This window comes from Homo sapiens, chromosome 12, assembly GCF_000001405.40.
Source record: "Homo sapiens chromosome 12, GRCh38.p14 Primary Assembly".
Taxonomy (NCBI): domain Eukaryota; kingdom Metazoa; phylum Chordata; class Mammalia; order Primates; family Hominidae; genus Homo; species Homo sapiens.
Window position 1 is genome coordinate 43,422,078 of NC_000012.12, and position 23,014 is coordinate 43,445,091.

General features: G+C 33.8%; 1 protein-coding gene across 3 annotated transcripts in view; it reads right to left on the bottom strand.

Moving 5' to 3' along the window:
- Window positions 1-23,014, bottom strand: part of ADAMTS20 (ADAM metallopeptidase with thrombospondin type 1 motif 20) — a 199,441-nt gene that overhangs the window by 69,315 nt on the left and 107,112 nt on the right. For all 3 annotated transcript variants that reach the window (XM_011538754.3, XM_017019979.2, NM_025003.5), the window contains 13 exons: window positions 21,714-21,806; window positions 17,820-17,992; window positions 17,545-17,674; window positions 12,168-12,294; window positions 10,524-10,734; window positions 10,227-10,391; window positions 9,255-9,419; window positions 8,275-8,394; window positions 7,540-7,647; window positions 6,558-6,722; window positions 6,164-6,454; window positions 5,231-5,392; window positions 3,437-3,613 (listed from right to left, as the gene is read on the bottom strand). In XM_011538754.3, the coding sequence (XP_011537056.1) occupies window positions 3,437-3,613; window positions 5,231-5,392; window positions 6,164-6,454; window positions 6,558-6,722; window positions 7,540-7,647; window positions 8,275-8,394; window positions 9,255-9,419; window positions 10,227-10,391; window positions 10,524-10,734; window positions 12,168-12,294; window positions 17,545-17,674; window positions 17,820-17,992; window positions 21,714-21,806 (2,087 nt within the window). The remainder of the gene's footprint in view (window positions 1-3,436; window positions 3,614-5,230; window positions 5,393-6,163; window positions 6,455-6,557; window positions 6,723-7,539; window positions 7,648-8,274; window positions 8,395-9,254; window positions 9,420-10,226; window positions 10,392-10,523; window positions 10,735-12,167; window positions 12,295-17,544; window positions 17,675-17,819; window positions 17,993-21,713; window positions 21,807-23,014) is intronic.

Consider the following 23,014-nt stretch of genomic DNA (forward strand, 5'->3'; position numbering starts at 1 on the left):
TCACGCTGACTAATCACCAAAAATGTAGCCATTAAATTAACATAGGCTAAGATTTATTTATTCCTTTTTTTATTACAGCACAAGACTTTCTACAACATGAAGAAAATTTAAATGTATCTTAAAGCTTTCTAATAATATTTTAAATAATTTTACATTTCACATTTCATTTGCTTTAAAATGAAAAATGTTTCTGAGATTTCATGTCACTCACTCATACACACACACATGCATGCATACACACTCTTAATTTTCTACTTAGTCAACAGGATCTGTTGAAGTTAAAGTTATCCATGAAAGAATATTAATCTAATATGCTAATAAGCTATTCTGAAGTTTGTCTAATATGCACCAACACTGAAAGAGGTAAAATGTTATATTTGGTATTGACAACAGAACTTCAGATCCCCTAAACCCATTTAATATAAAAGTCTAATTTAACAAATAAATATGCTTCATATAATAAAAGAAATCCAGTCACTCTAATAATATGTAAGTACTTCATACATATAAAAAAGTAAATATGATTGTAAAAATTCTATACAAACCTTTATTGTGATTTTTAAAACTTCAATACATTCAACTTATCAAAAAAATAAAAATACTACATTTCTTCATAGTGCAAAGAGTGAATTATTCAATGAATTCCTTTTGGGATATACATGTAATAACACTAAATAATTCTGCACATCTGTCTTACTATTTGGCAATCTGTGATTATTGTTTTCTTGGTCATTTGTTTTTGTGAGGTTGAAAAGTCATCTATACAGAGGACTTTAATGAGCATTCAGATTTTTCACTTGTGATATAATTTACATACAAAAAATAGCATAACAAAAATATATTGGAATATAGTATAGATACATTTACATAAACATTGCATGAATATCACAGTGGATATGTAGAGAAGGTTGATAAACCTTAAAATGTAAAATATCAAAGGATCAAAAACATCTAAAACTGACCTGGAATGAATTATTTGTAATTTTAATATTCTATAAATCTAAGTACCTTTTTATGTTAAACTTAAAAGCATTATAATGTTTATTAAATAGAACAGGGGTCAGCAAACTTTTCCCAGAAAAAGTTAGATAGTAAATATTTCAGGCTTTGTGAGTTACAGAGTTTCTATTGCAACTAATCAATGCTACTGCTGTAGTGCAAAACCAGCCATAGATAACACGTAAACAAATGAGCATGACTGTGTTCCAATAGAACTTATTTTAAAAATAGGCAACAGGCCAGATTTGGTACCTGGACCATAGTTTGCTGACCTCTAAAACAGAGAATCTGACTCACAAACACTTAATTTTAATTGCTTCAATATCTAATATAAAGCATGAGACCTAAGTAAATGTTTAATGCTTGGTGAATTGAAGTCATGAATGGGTAGGGAAAATAAAACGTCTATGCTCAGAAACAAATGCCATTACAATTCAATCTCATTAGCAGTTAGGATTCTGCTCTCCTAATTGGGAAAAAATTCCAAGAAAGTAATCCACAGTCTTCTTAAGAACTAGGCTTGCAAACTAAAACCAATAAAATGAAAGAAGATGGAACAGAGACACAGTAAGCAGAAAGTGGATTTCCAATCTAAGATAGCTAATAAAAATATCTTTTTATAGTGAGTTCTTATAGTATTTCAAATCTCCCCAAGTAAACTGTAAACTCCATAGGGATAAGAAATATGTTTCAATTGTCTCTGGATCACAGTGCCTAGGATATAGTAGATGGTCAGTAACGACATTTATTAAATACATATGTGAGTGCTTTCCATGGCAAAATATGTTTTTCATTAGTTCCCACAAGATGATGGTCCTTTGAGGCAGCAATTTCACTTTAAGATCCTCCTATAAAGTTAAAATGTTCTGTTGTTTAATATCATCAGTCACACTTTGACTATAAAGATGAATTTCAGCCTGAACCAGAGCTTGACCTACTCTTCAAATAACATGACTTGAAACTTGGGTTTATATCTTATTATAAAGATGTTTGGGTAGGGCAAAACAAAACAAGAGCAGGCATCAAGGGTTGGTTATAAAACTGGAGTTATAACTAATTTTCAAATAAAGAACCACATAGCTTTATAAATTTAATTACAAATAGATTATAAACTCAAATCAGTTCACTTAATGGCAATGTACTTGGTCATTCTTGATTTAAAATATCAATGGTAATCAAAATGCCTATTTCAATATAGTTATATATTAATTACTCCTCAAAAAAAAGATATTTGAAGGCTACTAAATAATCATGAACAAAGTTTATGAGTTTTGTCTATGGCTCCAATAAAAACCCAGAAAATTAAAATATTCCCAAACCACTAACTCCACAAAGTGGGAGAAATGCATAATCTATAGATTATTACATAAATTAAACTTTTGCATGACATATGTAAAAAACTGTAAACAAGTTCTGTTATGGAAGTAAATTTCTCTACTTTTATAAACATAATATTTTCACATTTCCAAACAAAATAATAAGTTGGATAATGACAAAAAACAAGTTTTAAAGAATACTATTTGGTTTTTGGAGCAGTTATGGATATTAACAGATGAAAGCCACACATAATTATATGCCTAAACAAGACACAGCCTTAATTTGCCATTTTTACAAGCACAACGTCAACATTATATATAAACATAAATAATATAATAGTCCTGATTAATTGACAGCAAGCCAAACATAAAACGGAGAAAAATATTTCCATTAGAACAGTAGTATGGTTCAAAGTTCACATATTAAAAAATAAATATATAAAAAAACTATTATATATGTTACACTACTTGAAATTAAATAGATTCCTCTTCCAAACTATCAAATTTCAAAACACAAACCAAGAGGGCCAATGATATACTTTAAAAAGAAACTGGAGAAGACAAAGTGTATGCATCCCACAATTTATAAAGAGAATAAATTAAAGCAAAAGAGACAAAACAAAACAAAACAAAAAAGAATAAGAATATTATCATACCATACATAGCACAGAATACTATGCAGCCGTAATAAGGAATGATATCACGTCCTTTGCGGGGACATGGATAGAATTGGATACCATTATCCTCAGCAAACTAATACAGGAACAGAAAGCCAAACACTCCATGTTCTCACTTATAAGTGGAAGCTGAATGATGAGAACACATGGCCACATGGTGGGGAACAACACACTGGGGCCTGTTGGGGGAGGAGTGTGGGGGGCAGGGAGAGCATCAGAAAGAATAGCTAGCTAATGGATGCCGTGCTTAATAGCTAGGTGATGGGATCATCTGTGCAGCGAACCACCATGGCACACATTTACCTATGCAGCAAACCTGCACATCTTGCACATGTACCCCTGAATGTAAAATAAAAGTCGAAGAAAAGAAAAACAATGAACTCTCCCTCACTCAGACTCAAACTTTAAAGTATGACATGTTAACAGACAAGAGTGCTATCATACCGATGTCCATGGTTCCTGATGCCATGACACATCAGCAGGGCAAGCATGCATATGACACTGTATTACGCTAGGTGGCTTGTTTACAATTTCACAGTTGTGATCTTCTAATATTTGGCCATTGGGAAATTGACATATTACAAGTCTTGATTTTATTCCTCCTCCACATGTTTGTGAACACTAAAAACAAGAATAGGAAAATTCAAAACTGTGGTTTTAAAGAGAATAATGTATTGCTTCATTCAATGTTTAAACATAATTAGTAATTATGTTTATTCTAGTAATTTTAACATAATTAGTTTACTCTAGTAATGTTACTCTAGTAATGGTAGCGTTTAAGTTTATAATTACTTCATAATTATCAACATTTCCCCCTAGACAAAAAAATAAATCAAAGTTTCAATTCCACGACTTTAAAAATTGACCAGATTTTGAGGATTAGTATCATAATATATTTCAGTAAGATATCCAGGACCTATAAGATAATGTTGGCAGGTTAAGCCAGAATCAAAATTTATTTATCTAAGTCATGAGCATTAATTACATAATGTACAATATCCAATCAACAGGTTACTAAGTAACCATGAAAGCTATTAATAATAAGGTACGTCTAATTTTATAAACATGAAATGTTCAGTATATATAATATAAAAACAGCAAATAACAAAACAGCTGTATAATGTGAACCAATTTCTAAAACTCATGCAGAACAAAAGCCTGGCAGGAAATATACCAAATCTTGCTAAAAGTTTGTATCTCTATTTGGACATATAATTTGAATTTTCAAAATAAGTGCATGTAAACTCAGAAATAGAAGTACTTTCGTTTTGGAAAACAGTAAAACTGTATCTTAAAAATGTGCTTGATATGTATTAACACCTGGTCTGGGTGTACTTTAAAAACATGGTTTCAAACTCCCAATGAACAGAAATTATGTGCTAAAAATCATTAAGCAAAAACATTTGACTAAGTCATTCATTTTATTTATCCAAAGCTAATAGAAATCTTTGCTTCTTATTTATTACCATTCCACATTACGAAGGAGGTTAGTATTAAAAGTGACTTTAAAAAATTATCTTTTTATTTCCAGTTCCTAGAGAGTGCCAGTGCATGAAGCAAGTGCTCAATAACTGACAACTATCTGGCTTAAAGAAAAAGATTTGCCAAATGCATAACTTAGTAATAGGATTAAACATGTTTTATATTTTATTCTAGTTTTCTATTTTTATATCAACCTAATTTTCTAAGAAATTAAGAGAATAAACCAATTTTAGAAAGATACTAGTAATTCAAAGACATATTGCCTAGCATATTAGAGTCTGCTGAAAAATCTAGAATATGCATTTTTTAAATCATGAATGAGTGACCTAAACCATGACAGAACATCTATTAAAAGAACTTGGTTTAATCACTCAATTAAAATAAATTAGTCGGGAGAATCACTTGAGGCCAGGAGTTTGAGACCAGCCTGGTCAACATGGTGAAATTCCCATCTTTATTAAAAATGAAAAAAATAGCCAGGCATGGTGGCACACACCTGTAGTCTCAGCTACTCGGGAGGCTGAGGTGGGAAGATCGCTTGAGCCCAGGAGGTGGAGGTTGCAGTGAGTCGAGATCACGACACTGCATTCCAGCCTGGGCAACAGAGTGAGACCCTGTCTCCAAAAACAAAAAAAACAAAAATTCTTTTTCTACATAGTATAGTGAAATCAGATTATTGAACAGTATAAGATGCTTTTTACTTTCAGTCTTCAGAGATGTAATAATCTCACAAGTTTAGAAAATATTATGACTTACTTCTCCCCAATTTCCGTAGTTCCACTGTGGACAAGGCCCTGGACCACATTGCTGTAACTCTGGAGGCTTGGAGGCTGCATCGCAGTAACTAGCACTTTGTCCATTTTCATCCTGGCAGACCACAGCCCTATGCTGAAGACCTCCAGAACAACTGCTGGAGCACTGACAAGAATAAAACACAAAATATGCACAAACTGCGGATTCCACATAATGAATTTACATGGTAAAAAAAAAAAATCAGCATTGACTCAATCAAAATCAAACCCTACATTAGAATCTCCTTCATTGGAATCACAATTTGAATTGAGAAAATCTATCAAAACACTTGAGTTATACTGGGAGCTTCATTAGAATTTGTTGATGAAAAGGTGGGACTTTCAAGTTTGCATTAGGAAACAATTTTCATTTCTATCATAAGTGTTAAGTAAAAAGAAATTAAAGTTTTTGAGATCTCACTAGAAAGGAATAAAAGACAGTATTAAATTACTTAACTTTACACTGGTGTTTTTCTTTATTTTGTATTATGAATGTTATGTAAAATATGAACTAAAACTATACCATTTGTAGTTTGTCATGATTTTATACCAGCTTATTGTATTGCTATCATAATAATTTTGGGATTTAGGTTTATTCATAAACATTTATAGTCTTACCCCTTAAAGCATTTTCTTTTGTTTTTATTACAATGAATTCTAATCAGATTGTTTTACAGTACATTCCTCTGTAATCATAATAACACATTAGTGCATAATTCAATAAGAACTCTAGCATTTGTAATGAGCATCAAAGACGCTTAATCTTTTTAATATTTAAACTATTGATCTTGAAATAAATTTAGCATTTAAAGTACTGATGGCATCATATACATACCTGTTAAAAGGATGTAATATAACAAAATTACAGAATTAATATAACTCAATAAAGATGGCTTACTGATCCCCATGGTCCGGTTCTCCACTGGTTTCCTCTGACTGATGGATGGACCACCTGATTTTCATTATCTTCAAGTTTTTGAGTTAATGGCAAATTCGTGCTTAGATAATAGCTTGGCTGCACAGGGGAACTAGGAAAGTGGCTGTGTGCAGGAGGGCAGGCTGCCAGGCTACATTCCTGTTCCATCAAAGGGCGAACTTCAGGATCACAGTAATTCTCATCAATTGGCTGATGGTAGTTCATGCATAAAACTTGTCGAGTTGTTTTTCCATGGCCACAGGAAGCTGAACACTGATCAAAAATTTAGCCAATGGTAATATACAACATTAATTTATATTTAATATCAAATATATTTAAATTTTTCATTTTCTTTTTTTCTCATAAGAATACTTACGGGTGACCAATCCCCTGCTTGCCACTCTCCACAAGGGGTAAAACAGTCCCATATTTCAGCAGGTCGGGGTAAGTGGGCACAATATGATTCATCTGCTATTCTATCAAGAGCATCACGACAGCTTACATAGCGGGCTTGAGTACCTCTTCCACAAGATACGGAGCACTTTTTAAGAAATCAAATTGTATCCGGGCATTATACAGTAGTACCTCACCCATGTCCCTTTTACATAGCTGTTACTCACATTTCTAAAACATCCAGTTTCTTGAGAAATTTTAAATTATTATAGATAATATTACCTGACATCACTTCTGAGTCAAATAAAGATGGGGTAGTGAATATTCCAATCAGTTTAGATCATAAATTTCACAAATAATGTATAGTAATTTCAATAATACATAAATATAATGATTTAAAATAATGCTTAGTTATTTGCTAAAATTAAAGATACTTAAAATATTTTAGGTAAGAGAATCTTATGATATCAATAAAAATAATTTTGATATATAATATCTACTACTAAGTAACAGATAGATATAATTCCATAATTAAAATATTCAGAGAATATATGAAGCTTAAAAATACATATTCTACAAGATTTTAGCAACGTATACTCCACATACGTTAAAGCTTTCAGTGTAGAAAAACAACATGAAAATGTTTGTAGTTCAAATAAAAGCCGATACAGCCTAATACTAAATCTGATTCTCATAACAACCTGTGACGTAAGTATTATTAGTATTCCCATTTTGAAGATTAGAAAATATACTCAGAAAACTTCAATTTCTTGTCCAGAGACACAGAGCTCTTGAAAGGCAAAGGACTTAGCCATTAATTCCTAATTCTAAACCCTATACTTCTTTGATGCCATCAAAATACCTGAGAATAAATGTATACATTGTGAAATCTCTAGCAACCATTTTGTTGATGTCTAAAAGCTACCATAATAGAAACACTGTATCTATTAAAGAAATTCACTTACTGGGGTCCAAGAACCATGTCGCCATTGTGCCATCTTTTTTATGAGAACAGTTGGTAATAAAGCGGTCTCAAGTTTAGAAATAAATGAGCAAGGTGTAAGTACACAGCTCTGTTCAGAAGAAAAATGGTTCTCGTAAAACATTAATTAATGACTGATTTATACAAAATCTAATACTTCACTTCTTCTGTATGTCTCAAGAACCGTTCCATACTAAATTAGAAATTGGTAATATGAATGTTTTCATTTTCAAAAGCACTAACTACAGTATCGTCAAGTGTCAATAGTGGATAATGACTGAATCCTAAAGTTTGGACCATTCTGTTTGATTGCTGAAAAGGAAAAGAGCTTCAGTCCTTTAAAAATACTGCTCAGCTAAAACATTCTGAACGGACACAAAACTCTACCTTAAAAAACACAATACACTTTAGGAGTTCATGATATTTATAATAATAGATATAACCTTCTTCTTCAGTTCAAAGAATGGAAATTCACAAGTTAAATGAGTGAGCCCTTAGCAGATAAAGAGTAAAAAAAAAAAAAAAATTCATTGATAAAGCTACAAAGCTGGCAAAACCAAGAACAACAAATTCTATTTTTTTGCCTCTCTCTCACACATACACGTGTTTAAGGCATACAAGTTTAAGTGGAAAAAAATAAGTAAAGAAATAATTTTAACACATCAATAATCTTTCTGTCTCATAAATCTTTTTGTTTGTAAACCATGATTCTTTTTACCTGTCTGTCACTGGGGCGACTAGCTTCATGGCATTCTGTGTCCTCTAACACTGCACTAGCTAGCTCATTGACACATTTAACATCTCGCATCTGATACCCATGTCCACATGTGGTTGTGCACTGAAAGAAGAATATAGATATTAAAAAAACATTGTTTCCCAAAAGTTACACAAACTTCTATTTTCTTAATGAATACCCTGTTAATAATATACTTTTAATAATCTTTTTATCAATCCTTTATACTAGATTTAAGACTTAAAAAGAGCAAATTCAATAAATATGCATATTTATTCAAATTAAGTAAATACCAAATATTGAAGTTAACCAAACTGTACAACAATTAATGTATTCTGAAAAGTTGTCATATAAAAATATAAATAGAGGCCTGATATTTTAGAAAGCAGTCAATATGATTTAAGGAAACTAAATATTTTTCAAACACCACCTAGTGTATGCATGTCATTTAATATACTAAGTAAATTTTAAAGAGACAAAGAAGGAACAGCATATAAAGTTAAAGGGAAAATGAGAGAAGGCTTCCTGTCAACTGTGGCAACCTCTACAGAATAATAAGCTACTCCATCCTCATCCAGCCTGATCATTGCTCATCCTGCAGACTCCTAGCTGCCTGTTCAGCAAAACGTCTAAACGATGCCTATCCTAAAAACAATAAAGATATCAATGCAGACACAGAGATGAAAATATTTATAATCTAAATAAAGCTGATAAAAGCATAAAGTCTGTAGCATTTTGGTTAACAAAAGGGAATTTAAAAGCAAAGCTGAAATATTTATTACAGAAAAATTAGCAGTACTATCAACATGTTACACATAAAGATTCACATTTCAGGGTTGCTGTTGTTTTTTAATAAACCAAGCCAAATTCCATTGCATCCACTAAGGGAGGAGTAAATATAACACAACTTTTGTGCTATTCTGTAAAGATAGATCAAATTAGAAAAACCCATATCATATACTCACAGGACCCCATGGTCCTACTTGCCAGGAAGCACATGTATGAAGTTCACATGGACTCAGAGATTCAGGTTTGGTACTTGAATTACAGAAGCCATCACTCAAGTGATCTACATTCAGCTGACACCATACCTGCCGCTGCTTTGTTCCTTTACCACATGTAACAAGGCACTGTAAGAATAAAACTGATCATTATTTATTTGCAGCATTAGTCAACACAAATGCCTTAAACTGATGCAATGATCAATTTGCATATAGAAATACAGTTGAAAAACCATTCCCAAATGCATTTTCCCTCACTCCACCAGAGATATTCACTGGGTAAAATCAGCCTGCCCCTAACTTCTGCTGCCCAAGTCCCACTGAAACATCCATTTATCCTAGAAACAAAGGTGCAAAACTAACCTTAGAATAAGTATTCATCCCAGGCTGCTGTGGACCCTGGCACTTTCTTATGCAAAGGGTTATAGATTAAATATCAGTTAGTGTTATTACTAGTCAGATACTGTAAATAGTATAAAGACAAACTATCTTGTATATTTCTTTTTTTTTTTTTGAGACAGATTCTCACTCTGTCACCCATGCTGGAGTGCAGTGGCCAATCTCAGCTTACCGCAATCTCTGCTCATTGATACTCCACGTCCCAGACTCAAGCAATCCTCCCACCTCAGCCTCCCGAGTAGCTGGGACCACAGGTGTGTGTCACCACATCCAGCTAAATTTCACTATGTTGCTCAGGCTGGTCTTGAACATCTGAGCTCAAGCAATCCACCCACCTCAGTTTCCCAGAGTGCTGGTATTACAGGCATGAGACACTGTGTGCCTGGCCTGTCTTATAAATTTCTGACAGCTTTGATAATAGTTATTTACAAAATGATGAAATAAATTTAAGCACTTTTAAATTTTGTAAAGTCTTAGATTACAAAGCTTTACTAACACAATATTTTAATAGTTCCAAGCATCATGTGTTTAATGTACCTCGCTCCATTCACTAGCAGCCCAACTGGGACAGGAAAATTCATTGCAATTCTCTCTCGTCACTCGGGACAGTTCTTGGCATTCATTGTCAGCAAGACGATGGCCAAAGTTATTCATACAATAAGATTCTCGAGACCTTTCCCCTCCTCCACAACTCCTGGAACACTGATTAAAAAAAAAAAAGTGGTAACTAATGGAAAAAAATCAGATTTTCAACAAAATTATACTTCAGAGTAACATAAATACGTAATTAGAAAGAAAGGGGCAACTTTTTTTAAGCAATCATTTTTATTGTACCTGAGACCATTCTGAATAATGCCATCTTGTGAAGACACAGTTACCATGGCATAGTTCTTGGGTAGGAGGTTTAAGCTGGTCACCACAGTAGTGGTCATCAACTTGAACAGTCTGTCCTTCATGAATGGAATACTTCATGCAATGGATGTCCAAGGTTCTATATCCTTGACCACATTGGGATGAACATTCACTTTTGCCAATAACATGCCACCTTGAAAAAAGATGTTACTATACTTAGGAGGTATATTACATAATTTAAAAACAGATTCAGAGACACTCATGCATTCAGTTTTTAAAATCCTAAAAGTTGATAGACAAACCACCAAAAAACAAAACCAGTCTGCAGCCAGGAAGCCAGCATTATACTACTGACCTCATGCCAGCACTTGGTGGTAGCTTTGGAGGTGCGTCCAAGGAACCCCAAGCTTCCTCAAAAACCTCTGAAAACAACTGGTTTAGATTATGATTACCCAATTACTTAGTGGCAGATTTAAGATAATAACTGAACATATCTGACTGCCAATCAGATAGTTTATCCCTATGCAATCCTCTATAAGTATTTCGATTTTATGACCAGGGAACGTCTAGGAATTTGACTACATCAATAAAAATAAAGCATTTAAAAAGTTAACTAGTTTTTGCAAAGTACACTACACTTTCTCATTCATTCCTGTAATCTATATTTAGACATGTTTCCAGGTAAAACATGTCTTCCACAAGTAAAAATGTTAGTTATAGCCAAATTATCCCAATTGTAGTCTAGCATTCATCAATGTGAGGGCACCAGTATAACAAAACACAGAATTCACAGAATTCATTTCCGTCCCTAATAGCATCTCAAGAATTTCACTGTGCTTCCTTTTACTACTATGTAGTGGATGCAACTTATATAGGCAGTTCTACTACTGTGCTTCTGCTATGCCTTCAACCAACATCATAAATATATAGAAATTCTCATCAAGTGAAAGAGGTTCTGGCCATACCTGAATGTTAAATGGCACCTGCTACAATGCTAAAAATAAATGTATAAATATGATAGATGGACTCATTGTATACCATGTCACTACAAGACCAATCACGCACACACACACATGCACACACAAACACACACACACACACACACACACACACACACACACACAAACCAAATAACAAGAAATTTAAATTAGAAGTATAAACTTGCTGTCATGATCTAGGATCAATTTCCCTAAAGTTTAATGGACAAAATACTGATAGAATGTCAAGGAAATCAATCAATTTGATTTCTCCAAACTTCAGAAGTTTACTGGTTCATTAATTCCGTGGAAAGTAAAGAATCATGCTAAAAAATTTATTGTTTCAGATCTTTAAACCATCCATTTTCAGATAACAGTTTACTTGTATTTATTTTACAGACAAAATTACAATCTTTTTCTACATAAAATATTGAGGCCTATATACTGGTATTCAGAAAATACTATGAATGAAAATTCAAATCAATTATGTACTGAGTTTTACCATAAAATAGTGAGCCTGAAATTTTTTCATGGCATGGCAGATGATGAGTAATAATTGCATGTCCATGCTGTGTCAGTCACTGTGTTAGACATTTTAATCTTAGCTCACTTATTAATCTGGTTATATTACATATTATTTCTCTTTTACCTTAGTTCACAGTCTGTATTGCAACTTTGAGTAACAAATGATGGAAGTGGCAAGTGGTCACATTCTTTATCAGACACAACACTATGATCACTCTTATGTATGCAAGTTATGTTTCTTCGCTGAAGACCTTGGCCAAAGTCAAATGAAAATAAAAAATGAAAGAAAAATTCACAGTTAGATGTTCCATAATTATGTAATTCTGCTAATAGCTTAAAGGAGCCAGCTAAGCAAGTAAAAATTTCCAATGCAACATACAGGATATACTAGTATATTAATCTAATGAGGAATGACTTTTATAATAAGTAAGCTGAATCCTGAATGACTGAAAGTTTGCTTAATGAAGAGATGTACAGAAGATGGGACAGGCATTGGAGTAAAATGAAATTCACTATAGTGGGATAGAGTGGTTGTTGGTGAATAATTGAGTAGCTAAGGACAGCACTGTTGCTATACAGTACACTATATTACTGTCATCCATCAGCTACCTCAGCTACCTCCCATTTTCCCATAAGAGGATTGCACATCTCTATTGCTGCAATGTTATAGTAACTTCCTGTAGGGGAAGAACTCTTTCCTGTTGATTGGCATCAGGCTTTTTATCAACCGACTGAAAAGGAACGTGACCTATTCCAGTCCCACCCAGCTCTCTTTCCTTTTTCCCTCTGCCTCCAGAACATCATTTCCCAGATACAGCTGATCTTTCAGCCTGGAATCATGGAAAAAAAAGGCATAGACAGGCAATAAAAAGATCAGTGTCTGTCACCAGTTGTGGGGGAAGGAAGGAAGAATAAATAGATGAAGCAAAGAGATTTGTAGGGCAGTGAAACTACTATGTATGATATTATATTGGTGAATACATGTCACTATACGTTTGTCAAACCATAGAATTTACAACACAAATAGTAAACTCTAATGTAAACTATGGACTTTAATTAATAATAATGCATCAAAATTGGCTCATCAATTGCACAAATGTGCCACATTAATGCAAGATGTTAATAATAGAGGAGTGTGGAGGAGAATGGCAGAGGGAAGAAAGATGAATATGCAAACTTTCTGTACTTTCTACTCAATTTTTCAGTAAACCTAAAACTTCTCTAAAAAATAAAGTCTAGGCCGGGCGTGTTGGCTCACACCTGTAATCTCAGCACTTTGGGAAGCTGAGGCGGGCGGATCACGAGGTCAGGAGATCAAGACCATCCTGGCTAACAAGGTGAAACCCCGTCTCTATTAAAAATACAGAAATCAGCCAGGCGTGGTGGTGGGTGCCTGTAGTCCCAGCTACTCGGGAGGCTGAGACAGGAGAATGGTGGGTGAACCCAGGAGGCAGAGCTTGCAGTGAGCCGAGATCGCACCACTGCACTCCAGCCTGGGCAACAGAGTGAGACTCCATTTCTAAAAAAAAAAAAAAAACAAAAAAATAAAAATAAAAATAAAATAAAAAAAGTCTATAAAAAAAAAAAACATGGATACAGATACCAAGTTGGAGTAGACCCATAGCCAATTAGCAGCCAAAACATGACATGAGCAATAAATAAACCTTTATTGTTCCAAGCCATTAAGATTTGGTGGTTTGCATGCAGGATAACTACAGCAAAAGCAAACTAAGAGAAGTGGTCATAACTGACCAGAGTCATTTGAACTTTATGCTTTCTGCAATGAGGAGACAGTAAAGAGTTTAAGCAGTCAGTGACATGAACAAATTTCTGTTTTATCAAAGTTCAACTTTGTGCTTCCAGTTAACTAAACATGATTATATACGTTATCTCTGCTCCTTTCTCAATATCTTTTGAAATGACTATGAGAAATTCTGAAAACGCATAAACGTAAAAGAAGAAAAAAAGGAAAAGAAAAAAAACAGCAAGGAAATGAAATTTTGAATATGAAAAGTAGATGGAAATAACTATTTAACAGAGCCAAGGAATTGGAACCTAAGCCTGCAAAGTGGGAAAGTAAATAAGCAACAAATCATTCATGACATAGAACCCAAGAGAGGCCCAGGAATGGAAAACACCAGGTTCCTCTGACAGGGCGAATGTGTGAGGGGTAGGCCTGAAATAATAAAGAATTAATTGAAAAGTATTTTAAAAGAATGGTTAGACCACTAGCTTCCTAGTTGAGAACAGCACTATCCAATGAAAACAGAATGTGAACCACATCTGGAACTTTATATTTTCTAGTAGTCACGTTAAAAAAAAAAGTTAAATTAATTTTAATAACCTTTATGTTTAGCCCCAAATATTTAAAATATGATTTGAACATATCAATATAAAATTATTAATAATATATTTTACGTTCTTTTTTCATTCTAAGTCTTCCAGATTTAGCATGCATTTAACACTTACAGCACATTTCAATAGATTAGCCACACATGGCTAGCGGCTACCATATTGCACAGCATAGCTCTAGAAAAAGTGAACTTGAGAGCATAAGACACAGCTGAGAAAAGCTGGGAACACACTCTACTGAAACAAGGTGGCTAAATAAAATTCCCCACACTGAATGATGTGATCCCAGCCCATTCAGCGCTCAATCTCCTGCTGGCACCATGCCAACTTCTGTTATCCCGCAGCACCCTCATGACAATCAGAAGATGAGAGAATTCCTCTCTTGCAGGACCGTTTAACTCAAGAAAAAAGATCAACTGACAATAACATTTGAGACTTCTCTCCAATGACATATGAGAGGGCTACTTAATGACCAAATTACTCTATAATGAAACTTCTAGTTAACTTGTCTGACCCACAGAGGGCTTTCAATCAGACTTTTAGTACTTTTAAAATATGAACAAACAGCGCAAGGTCAGTAGACATTCTAGGAAAGCCTCTAACACACACAAAAAAGGTAAAATAAACAAAAACAAAATAGACCTAGGAGGAAACACATATAAGTGAGGGAGCAGAAGAAAACTTAAAGACTATGATTAATACACTCAGAGATATGATAGAAGGTATTATATTCATAAAACAAAAGCAAGATGTTATGAGAAGAAACATTAAGAAAACAATGAATTTGAGAGAATAAATTAGAAAAGAAATATCAGTTTAGGAATGTGAACTAGTTTCCCAAAGATAAAAGAGAAAAGTTAATGTGAGGAAGTCATCTAAGAACATGATAAATTTCTCAAGACAAAGATTTATGTTTCCAAATTGGAATGGCATCTTAATTACCAGAAAAATAGATGAAAAAACAACCAAATCAAGGCATATTGTCCTGAAATTTCATACCACTAGAATTAAAGAGAGGATCCACAAAACTTCCAGAATACAACATGTCATGTACAAGCATGACAAGCATGAAATTGGAAAACAAGCCAGAAAACAAGAACTTCAAAATTCTAAAGAAAAACATTCTCTATTTATACCAGCTAAACTATTGATCGAGCATGAGAATATAGTTATGTCATTTTCAGATATGAAAGGTCTCAAAAATATTCTCTTCTCAAGAAAATACTGAGGGATATGTTCCACCCAATGAAAGAAGTAAATCAAAAAGAGGGACTGAGAGGATTTAGAAAACAGGGAATCTAACACAGAATACTGAAGAGAATTCCCAGGACAATAATGAAGGAAAATCTCAAAATGACAGTCATTAAACAAGCCTAAAAAACAACATGAACAAATTAGAGAAAAGAGGGCCACAGTAGCCAAAGGTAAAGAAAAAGTGAAAGAAAAATCAAATTGATAAATTCTATAATATGCTTGACAATATTAAGACAAAATGTAGAGTTCTGATAAAAAGCTTGAGGACTGATAACTTTCAGTACACAGAAACAAACAAAAGAGGGAATTTAACTTTAACTTTAGAGAAACTAAAAAAAATACACAAAAAAAGGGAATATAATCAGAGTTCACTATATGGTAAAAGAAATAATAGTTGCTTTTCCCCTGCACGCGATTGTTTAAGAGAACTCTCCTGCTTTGGACTCCCAAATCGTCTCCCACCATGTTTTTCCAAACTTCCATTTTGAATCTTGTTATTCTCTGTGTGTTCACTGCATTTTAAAATGTTCCTTCATTCTCCTGTTTCTGAAATTTCTCCTTCTAGCTCCTTATATCCACGGTCACAGATGAGCTTACCCACTCAAGTTGGAATGCTGATCCCAGCTCCCCAGATTCCAATTATCTTCTAAAAGGATATTCAGGACCTTTCTGTCAAAATAAATTTTTCCTTCTTCTATGTTAACCAAAGCTCTGTGTTTTCTACCTCTATTATCCCCGTCTATCTTGCATCATTTCCTTGTATCCCTCCACTGAGACACTGCTAAAATAGGAACATTTGTTCCCATGAAATCATTCTGGGAAGCACTGTCCAGATGCCACAGGACCAAGACTGTGCCTTTTCCTGAATAGGGCACCACAGTTCCTTTGGCACCTCGTCAGGTCAGATGGTAGACTGTTCTTCACATTCTCACCACCTTTGGTCACCGCCTCTTGCTGCCCACTTTCTATGATAAGCTCATCTCCACATGGTTCGGAGCTTCCTTTGCCCTGACCCACTCCTGCCCTAATTCCCAAGCTATTTCTCTATTCTTCATGAAAACTTTTCTTCCATTCTATACAAAATTCTCTATCTTCAGCTTCAGTCTCCTCAAAAACTGCTCCCTCCACCTTTTCTGAGGTCCACACTGTGCGTATCTATAGTACTGTATTTACCATTTTATTAATACATTAACATATATATTCATGCATCTGTTTCAAGCACTAAAATAAAACATGAATTCAGAATTGGGATCTTATTAATAATCTGAGCATATTCCCTCAATAAATATGTACTGCATTGAACATAATATTACACAATTAAATATTCATAATTACAGACTGCAGACTCTAGTCTTTCCACTTTTTTCCCTACTATAAATTGTCCTGCTGTTCCCACTCTGCTCCTTTTCCCACTCTATTTCTTTCCATTTTTCATGCCATCTATACAATTATACTTTCTCATGGTCAGGGAAGGAAAATAAAAGACAAAAGAATGTTTGATATCTCAACAATAAAAGAGGAAGCCAGGTTGTTGAGAAAGACTGTGTGGAGATGAGTGGAAGAAAAGGCAGATATTTCACCAGGAAGCAGGATATATATAAGTTAGAGAAACTTTCTGTGGCTGTGAAAAAGAGAATGAGAACGGGAAAGTAAAAGAACAGTAATAGATAGAGAAGGGTGAAAAGAGTAGCATTAAATAGTGCTGTTAAGTATAAGAAACAGAAAGAATTAGTGAAAAAAGTAGAAAGGAAAAAAAGATTGAAAACTTTTGTATGTCTGTGGGATATGTGTATGGACAGTGGGGAGGATTCCATAGGCAGCCAAGACTCAAAAGTACCCAAAATGATGCCAGAATGCACAGTCAGTCTTTTCTCCCTTATTGAATGCCAGCGTACCTTGACACATTTTGGTACAGCCTTCCCATGGTCCATAGGGGTCCCATGTGAACATGTCACTCCTCTCTTCCAAAGGGATATTGAAGGAATAATGTACATCAGGGTTGTATAAATTACCCACACACAACACCTCAATAAGAATATAAAAGAACATACAATTAATACATAAAAATATATTCTTGACATCATTTTATATTTGATAATGTTAAGCACTTAACCAGTAGTTTACTAATATAATTAAATCCAAGTGTTATTACTGATGACTGAGAATTTACCTGCAAAATAAGTTCTTTCTCTTGTCGATTAGTACTATTAATTCTTTCAACTGCGTTATTTGATCCACTGTATTCAATAACAGTTCTTGTTCCTTGCACATTGATTTCTTTTTTTGACGTACTTAGAAGAAAATTTCCATTGAAAAGAAAATTCCCTTCAGCGTCAGATAATGCTGTAAAAGAATAAAGCATAACTCATGAAATAGTAACACCAATCAACAATACAGAAAACACTTGTTTAACTTTTTTTTTTTTTTTTTTTTTTGAGACGGAGTCTTGCTGTATCTCCCAGGCTGGAGTACAGTGGCACAATATTGGCTCACTGTAACCTTCGCCTCGCCTCTTGGATTCAAACAATTCTCCTGCCTCAGCCTCCCGAGTAGCTGAGATTACAGGCATGCGCCACCACGCCTGGCTAATTTTTGTATTTTTAGTAGAGACGGGGTTTTGCCATGTTGGCCAGGCTGGTCTCGAACTCCTGACCTCAGGCAATCTGCCCGCTTCGGCCTCTCAAGTGCTAGGATTACAGGCGTGAGCAACCGCACCTGGCCTTGTTTAACTTTTAAAGTTCAAATCCTTTTTTGAAATTAAAGAATGCAAAAGTAAATTTATGTTGAGGAAATAAACTTTATTTTACTGTAATGTGGGATTTTAACAATAAGTTAGGTAACTTCAGCACATCAGCCAAAGATATTAAAATAAATTCACTCTATACTTTTCTATCTCAGATGGTCATCTTCTTTCATGATGTATGTAGCTTCAGAACAAGCAGTGGGAAAGCAGAAAGAAGTCATGACCCCAGCAGACAGATTAGTTCAATCATCCTGGTCATCAATGGTAGGGAAAGAAGGAGCAGCCAGACTGCTGCATCATTCCATTTATGCTTATCTTAGAAAAAAGGTACAAAGCTTTAAAACTCTAGGGTCGGGAGGCCGAGACGGGCGGATCACGAGGTCAGGAGATCGAGATCATCCTGGCTAACACAGTGAAACCCCGTCTCTAGTAAAAATACAAAAAAATTAGCCGGGCGTACTGGCGGGCGCCTGTAGTCCCAGCTACTCCGGAGGCTGAGGCAGGAGAATGGCGTGAACCCGGGAGGCGGAGCTTGCAGTGAGCTGAGATAGCGCCACTGCACTCCAGCATGGGAGATTGAGGGAGACTCCGTCTCCAAAAAAAAAAAACAAAAAAAAAACTCTAGGGTCAACATTCTAGAAGGCCATGCAATGACTATGCCATTCTCTATACAAACGTCTAGATCTTCTATAGAAAAGCCCTCTATCCCTGTTAACACATACGTGGGTATCTGCTTTTCAGAATAATACTCCTATTTCCTTCTCTGTTCATGTCCCCTTCTTGTTCTCTCTTTTTCCCAGTGACAGACATTAATATATACCTATAGAATATGTATATGTGTGTATATTTATTTATATACTATATATATACAAATAGAGAAGACAATTATATAGTATGTATTAGTAACATTACTTTTTAAATATAAAATTACATGTCACCCAAAATCATGCGTAGTAAAAAGAAATCAATGTGGGATAAAAACAATGGATTTAAGTTTAAGTTGTTGTGATTAATGTCTATGTAATCTTGGACAAACCTCATGCTCAGTTTCCTAAACTGCATAATAGAAATAATAAACATTTCTATTTCAGTCTTTTAATCAGGATCAAGTTTGAAAAATGTTTGTAAGTGTGTGAATTGTAAAGTACTGTGCTATTTATTTTTAATTTTCAAGAGGATGTGTAATACCTAAAATTTTACACTAAGAAAACCCCCATATTAATCAAATACTTTTTTGCTTGCTTAAGTTATACTTTTCAATGGAATAATAACCTTTCCAGAAAACATTTGTTTGGCATTCCAGGAAACCTCACCGAAAGCGCACAATTATCTATGGCTAACTTCCTAATATAAATACAATACCCCTCTGAAAAAGCAATATTGAAGGGATTATTGTAAAATAAATTTGGTGTTTCTGTGTATATGTGGACTAGTATAACTGTCTTTATGTATTACGCTGAATTCAGTGAGGAACAAACAAAGATCTATATTTAGTCTATGACATAGACATTCCTCTATTTAAGAATCTGCGCTTTATCAAATGTGGCTAGGTCTATTTAAGGGATTATTGGTTATGTTAAATTTAAGGGAAATAAACAAAACTTTACTGGCTTAGAAAAAAAGTCTACAAATTTCACTACTTTTAGTTACCAAACGTCATAAACATAAATGTTTTAAAAATTCCTTCTATTGACATCACATGTCTATTTTACTCACTTCAATTTAGACTTTGATATTTCCGTTTATAATTTTCTCACAAAGTATATTGATACTTTATTGGTGAACATTTCTTTTTTTTTTTTTTTGAGACAGAGTTTTGCTCTTGTTGCCCAGGCTGGAGTGCAGTGACACAATTTCAGCTCACTGCAACCTCCGCCCCCCAGATTCCAGCGATTCTCCTGCCTCAGCCTCCCGAGTAGCTGGGATTACAGGCATGCGCCACCATGTCCGGCTAATTTTTGTATTTTTAGTAGACACGGGGTTTTGCCATGTTGGTCAGGCTGGTCTCGAACTCCTGACCTCAGATGATCCACCTGCCTCGGCCTCCCAAAGTGCTGGGATTACAGGCATGAGCCACCATGCACAGCCAACATTTCTAATTTTTAAAGTTGAGAATAACCTGTGATCCAGTCCCAGAAAGATATATTTGTCTACATTTGGAATCTAAGAGATACCTATTAAATTATTTATCTCCAATATGGTAGCATATATCTATGTAAATGTACTGAAGCAATATTTTTAGCACAAGGAAAAGAATTTCAACTAAATGTAAAAGGCTAATAAATCAAACTATTTATGTTTGATTTTAATAAATATTTTGCATCTTGTATTGAGGTGAAACTGATATAACATAAAATTAACCATCATTAAACGAACAGTTCAATGGCATTTAGTATATTCACGATGACGTACAACCATCACCTCTATCTAGTTCCAAAACCTGTTCACCCCAGAAGGAAACCTTGTACTCATTAAGCAGTTGTTCCCCTTACATTTGGCTTTATAGTTCCAAATGCAATTCCTGAGATAGGCTGTTCATTATAGATTCAGATTGCCAGTTACATAAGTTAATTATTTGAGTCAATATTTCACATCTTATTAATGTACAGCAGATGCTTTCTCAATATCAGCTCTGCACCATTACCTACCTACTCCAGCTTGGTGAATTATAGATAACTCGCTATTAAGATATTTCACAGGCAGAAGGAAAAGGTTTTTAAAGCATCATTTTCATGTTTGTGTCTAAAGTGAAATTCTTTAAGCCTGAAAGCTAATTTCTAAAAATAAATAACATAAATTAAGTTTATACTTTAGAAATAGCTAACAGACAATATACTGTGACTACATTCATTAACATATAAAAATGTGAAACCACAGTTCTTTTTCTGACTTTTTTAAATACAAGAGCTTTTACAAAACTGTATTTAAATACTTTAGCTACATAGTAAAAAAAAATTAAGAAAATTATTTAAAACATTTAACCCCAAAGAATTCTACAATTAATATTAGACAAAATGATAGAAGAGAATTTTATTCTAAATACACATGCAACTAATTGAATATAATTTCTGGTTATCTAAAATACACGAGAAAAAAACTGAAAACAAATTATTGTTCAGAATTTCATTAAGTTTTTTTTTTTTAAGTAATACATTTTTGAGTGCTTAAGAACATATGTATAGGGAGCGCTAAGCTCAGTATGAAATGAAATTGCATGCTTGCTAAAGGGACTCCTGTTTTCCAAGAATTCACATCAACTACAGACTTCCATGAAATTGCACATAAGCCACATACTGGCTGTTGTTTACGAGAAATGTTTACCAAGGTAACTGTCATCTGGTTGTCCAGAATAGCTGTACTGACGAATGTCAACGTTTGTTGCTCCTGCGGGAATCTTTACAACAACATTATAACCTGCAATATAATTTTACATATGTTAAATTTCACAAAAAGCAGATGGCCCAGAGGTTATTACTGCTGAATGGATGAAAAATTCGAATAGCATAGTCAGACTTAATTTTGTTGTGTCTTTACAAAATTACACAGTGGTTATTCTTTTTGAGTCAGTACCTTACACAAATTACTGAGGATTGAGAAAAAGTGGTTGTTGTCAAGAAACAGAGTTTAAGATTCTTAACTTTTCCTAATCTTTTCCTACTTCTAATATTCTTAATATAGAATGGAATGAAGCTAGTATTTTAGCTCCTGAGACCCTTAGTACACATACCCATTTTTAAGCTTTGTTAATGCTTTTATATTTTATACTGGGAAAAAAATAGAAGATTTCAAATACAATTCACAAGTCCAGGAGATATTAAAATAATTGGTCATTGCTATGATATATTCACACAGACTCAGTAAACAGCAAAATAATGAAATTTTTCAATTTCATTATTGAAAAATCATAAAAAAAGAAAAAGTTTAAAGCTCAAGTTTTAGTTTGTAGTATAAGCAGGAATCTCTTCATCTATTCCCCAAATTTTACATTATTTTTACAAGAATACTAATAAACTTGTTATGAGAAAAGTAAAAAGTTTACTCAAGTGAAATGAATGTAATATTTCCATTTTATGAAGCCAAATTCAGCGACATTGGCACTGCTCAAAAGAGGAAACATTTTATCTAACATATATTAAGAAAAAACATTTTCATGAAAACTAAAAACACTCACATTACATAGTTGTCCAAATACGCAGGTTTTTAAATATACAATTAGTTATACTCTAAGGATATTATTCTAAGTTTTTCCTTTTCCTTATTTATTAGGATTTCCTCCTAGTTAACTGCACCATGAGTAAAAAGTAATTTTTCTCATACACTACCTTTGATAAATATGGAATTAACTTAAGAAGACAGTTCAAAAAGAGCTTAAATTTACAACCCTAATGTCAGACTATCTTGCATGTGTTTTAGAGCAGACTTATTTATATCTAAGGCATCACATTTTTAGTGTAAGACGATAAGAAATAGTTTCATGATTCGGTATACACTATATGCCTACTGGTTGTAGGTTATTGACCTACAAGAATAATTTTAATTAACCTCCTTTTCACTATAAAATATTCTTACCCACTACTTTTACTATTTATATCTTTACTATTTATTATATTTTTTTCAAGAAA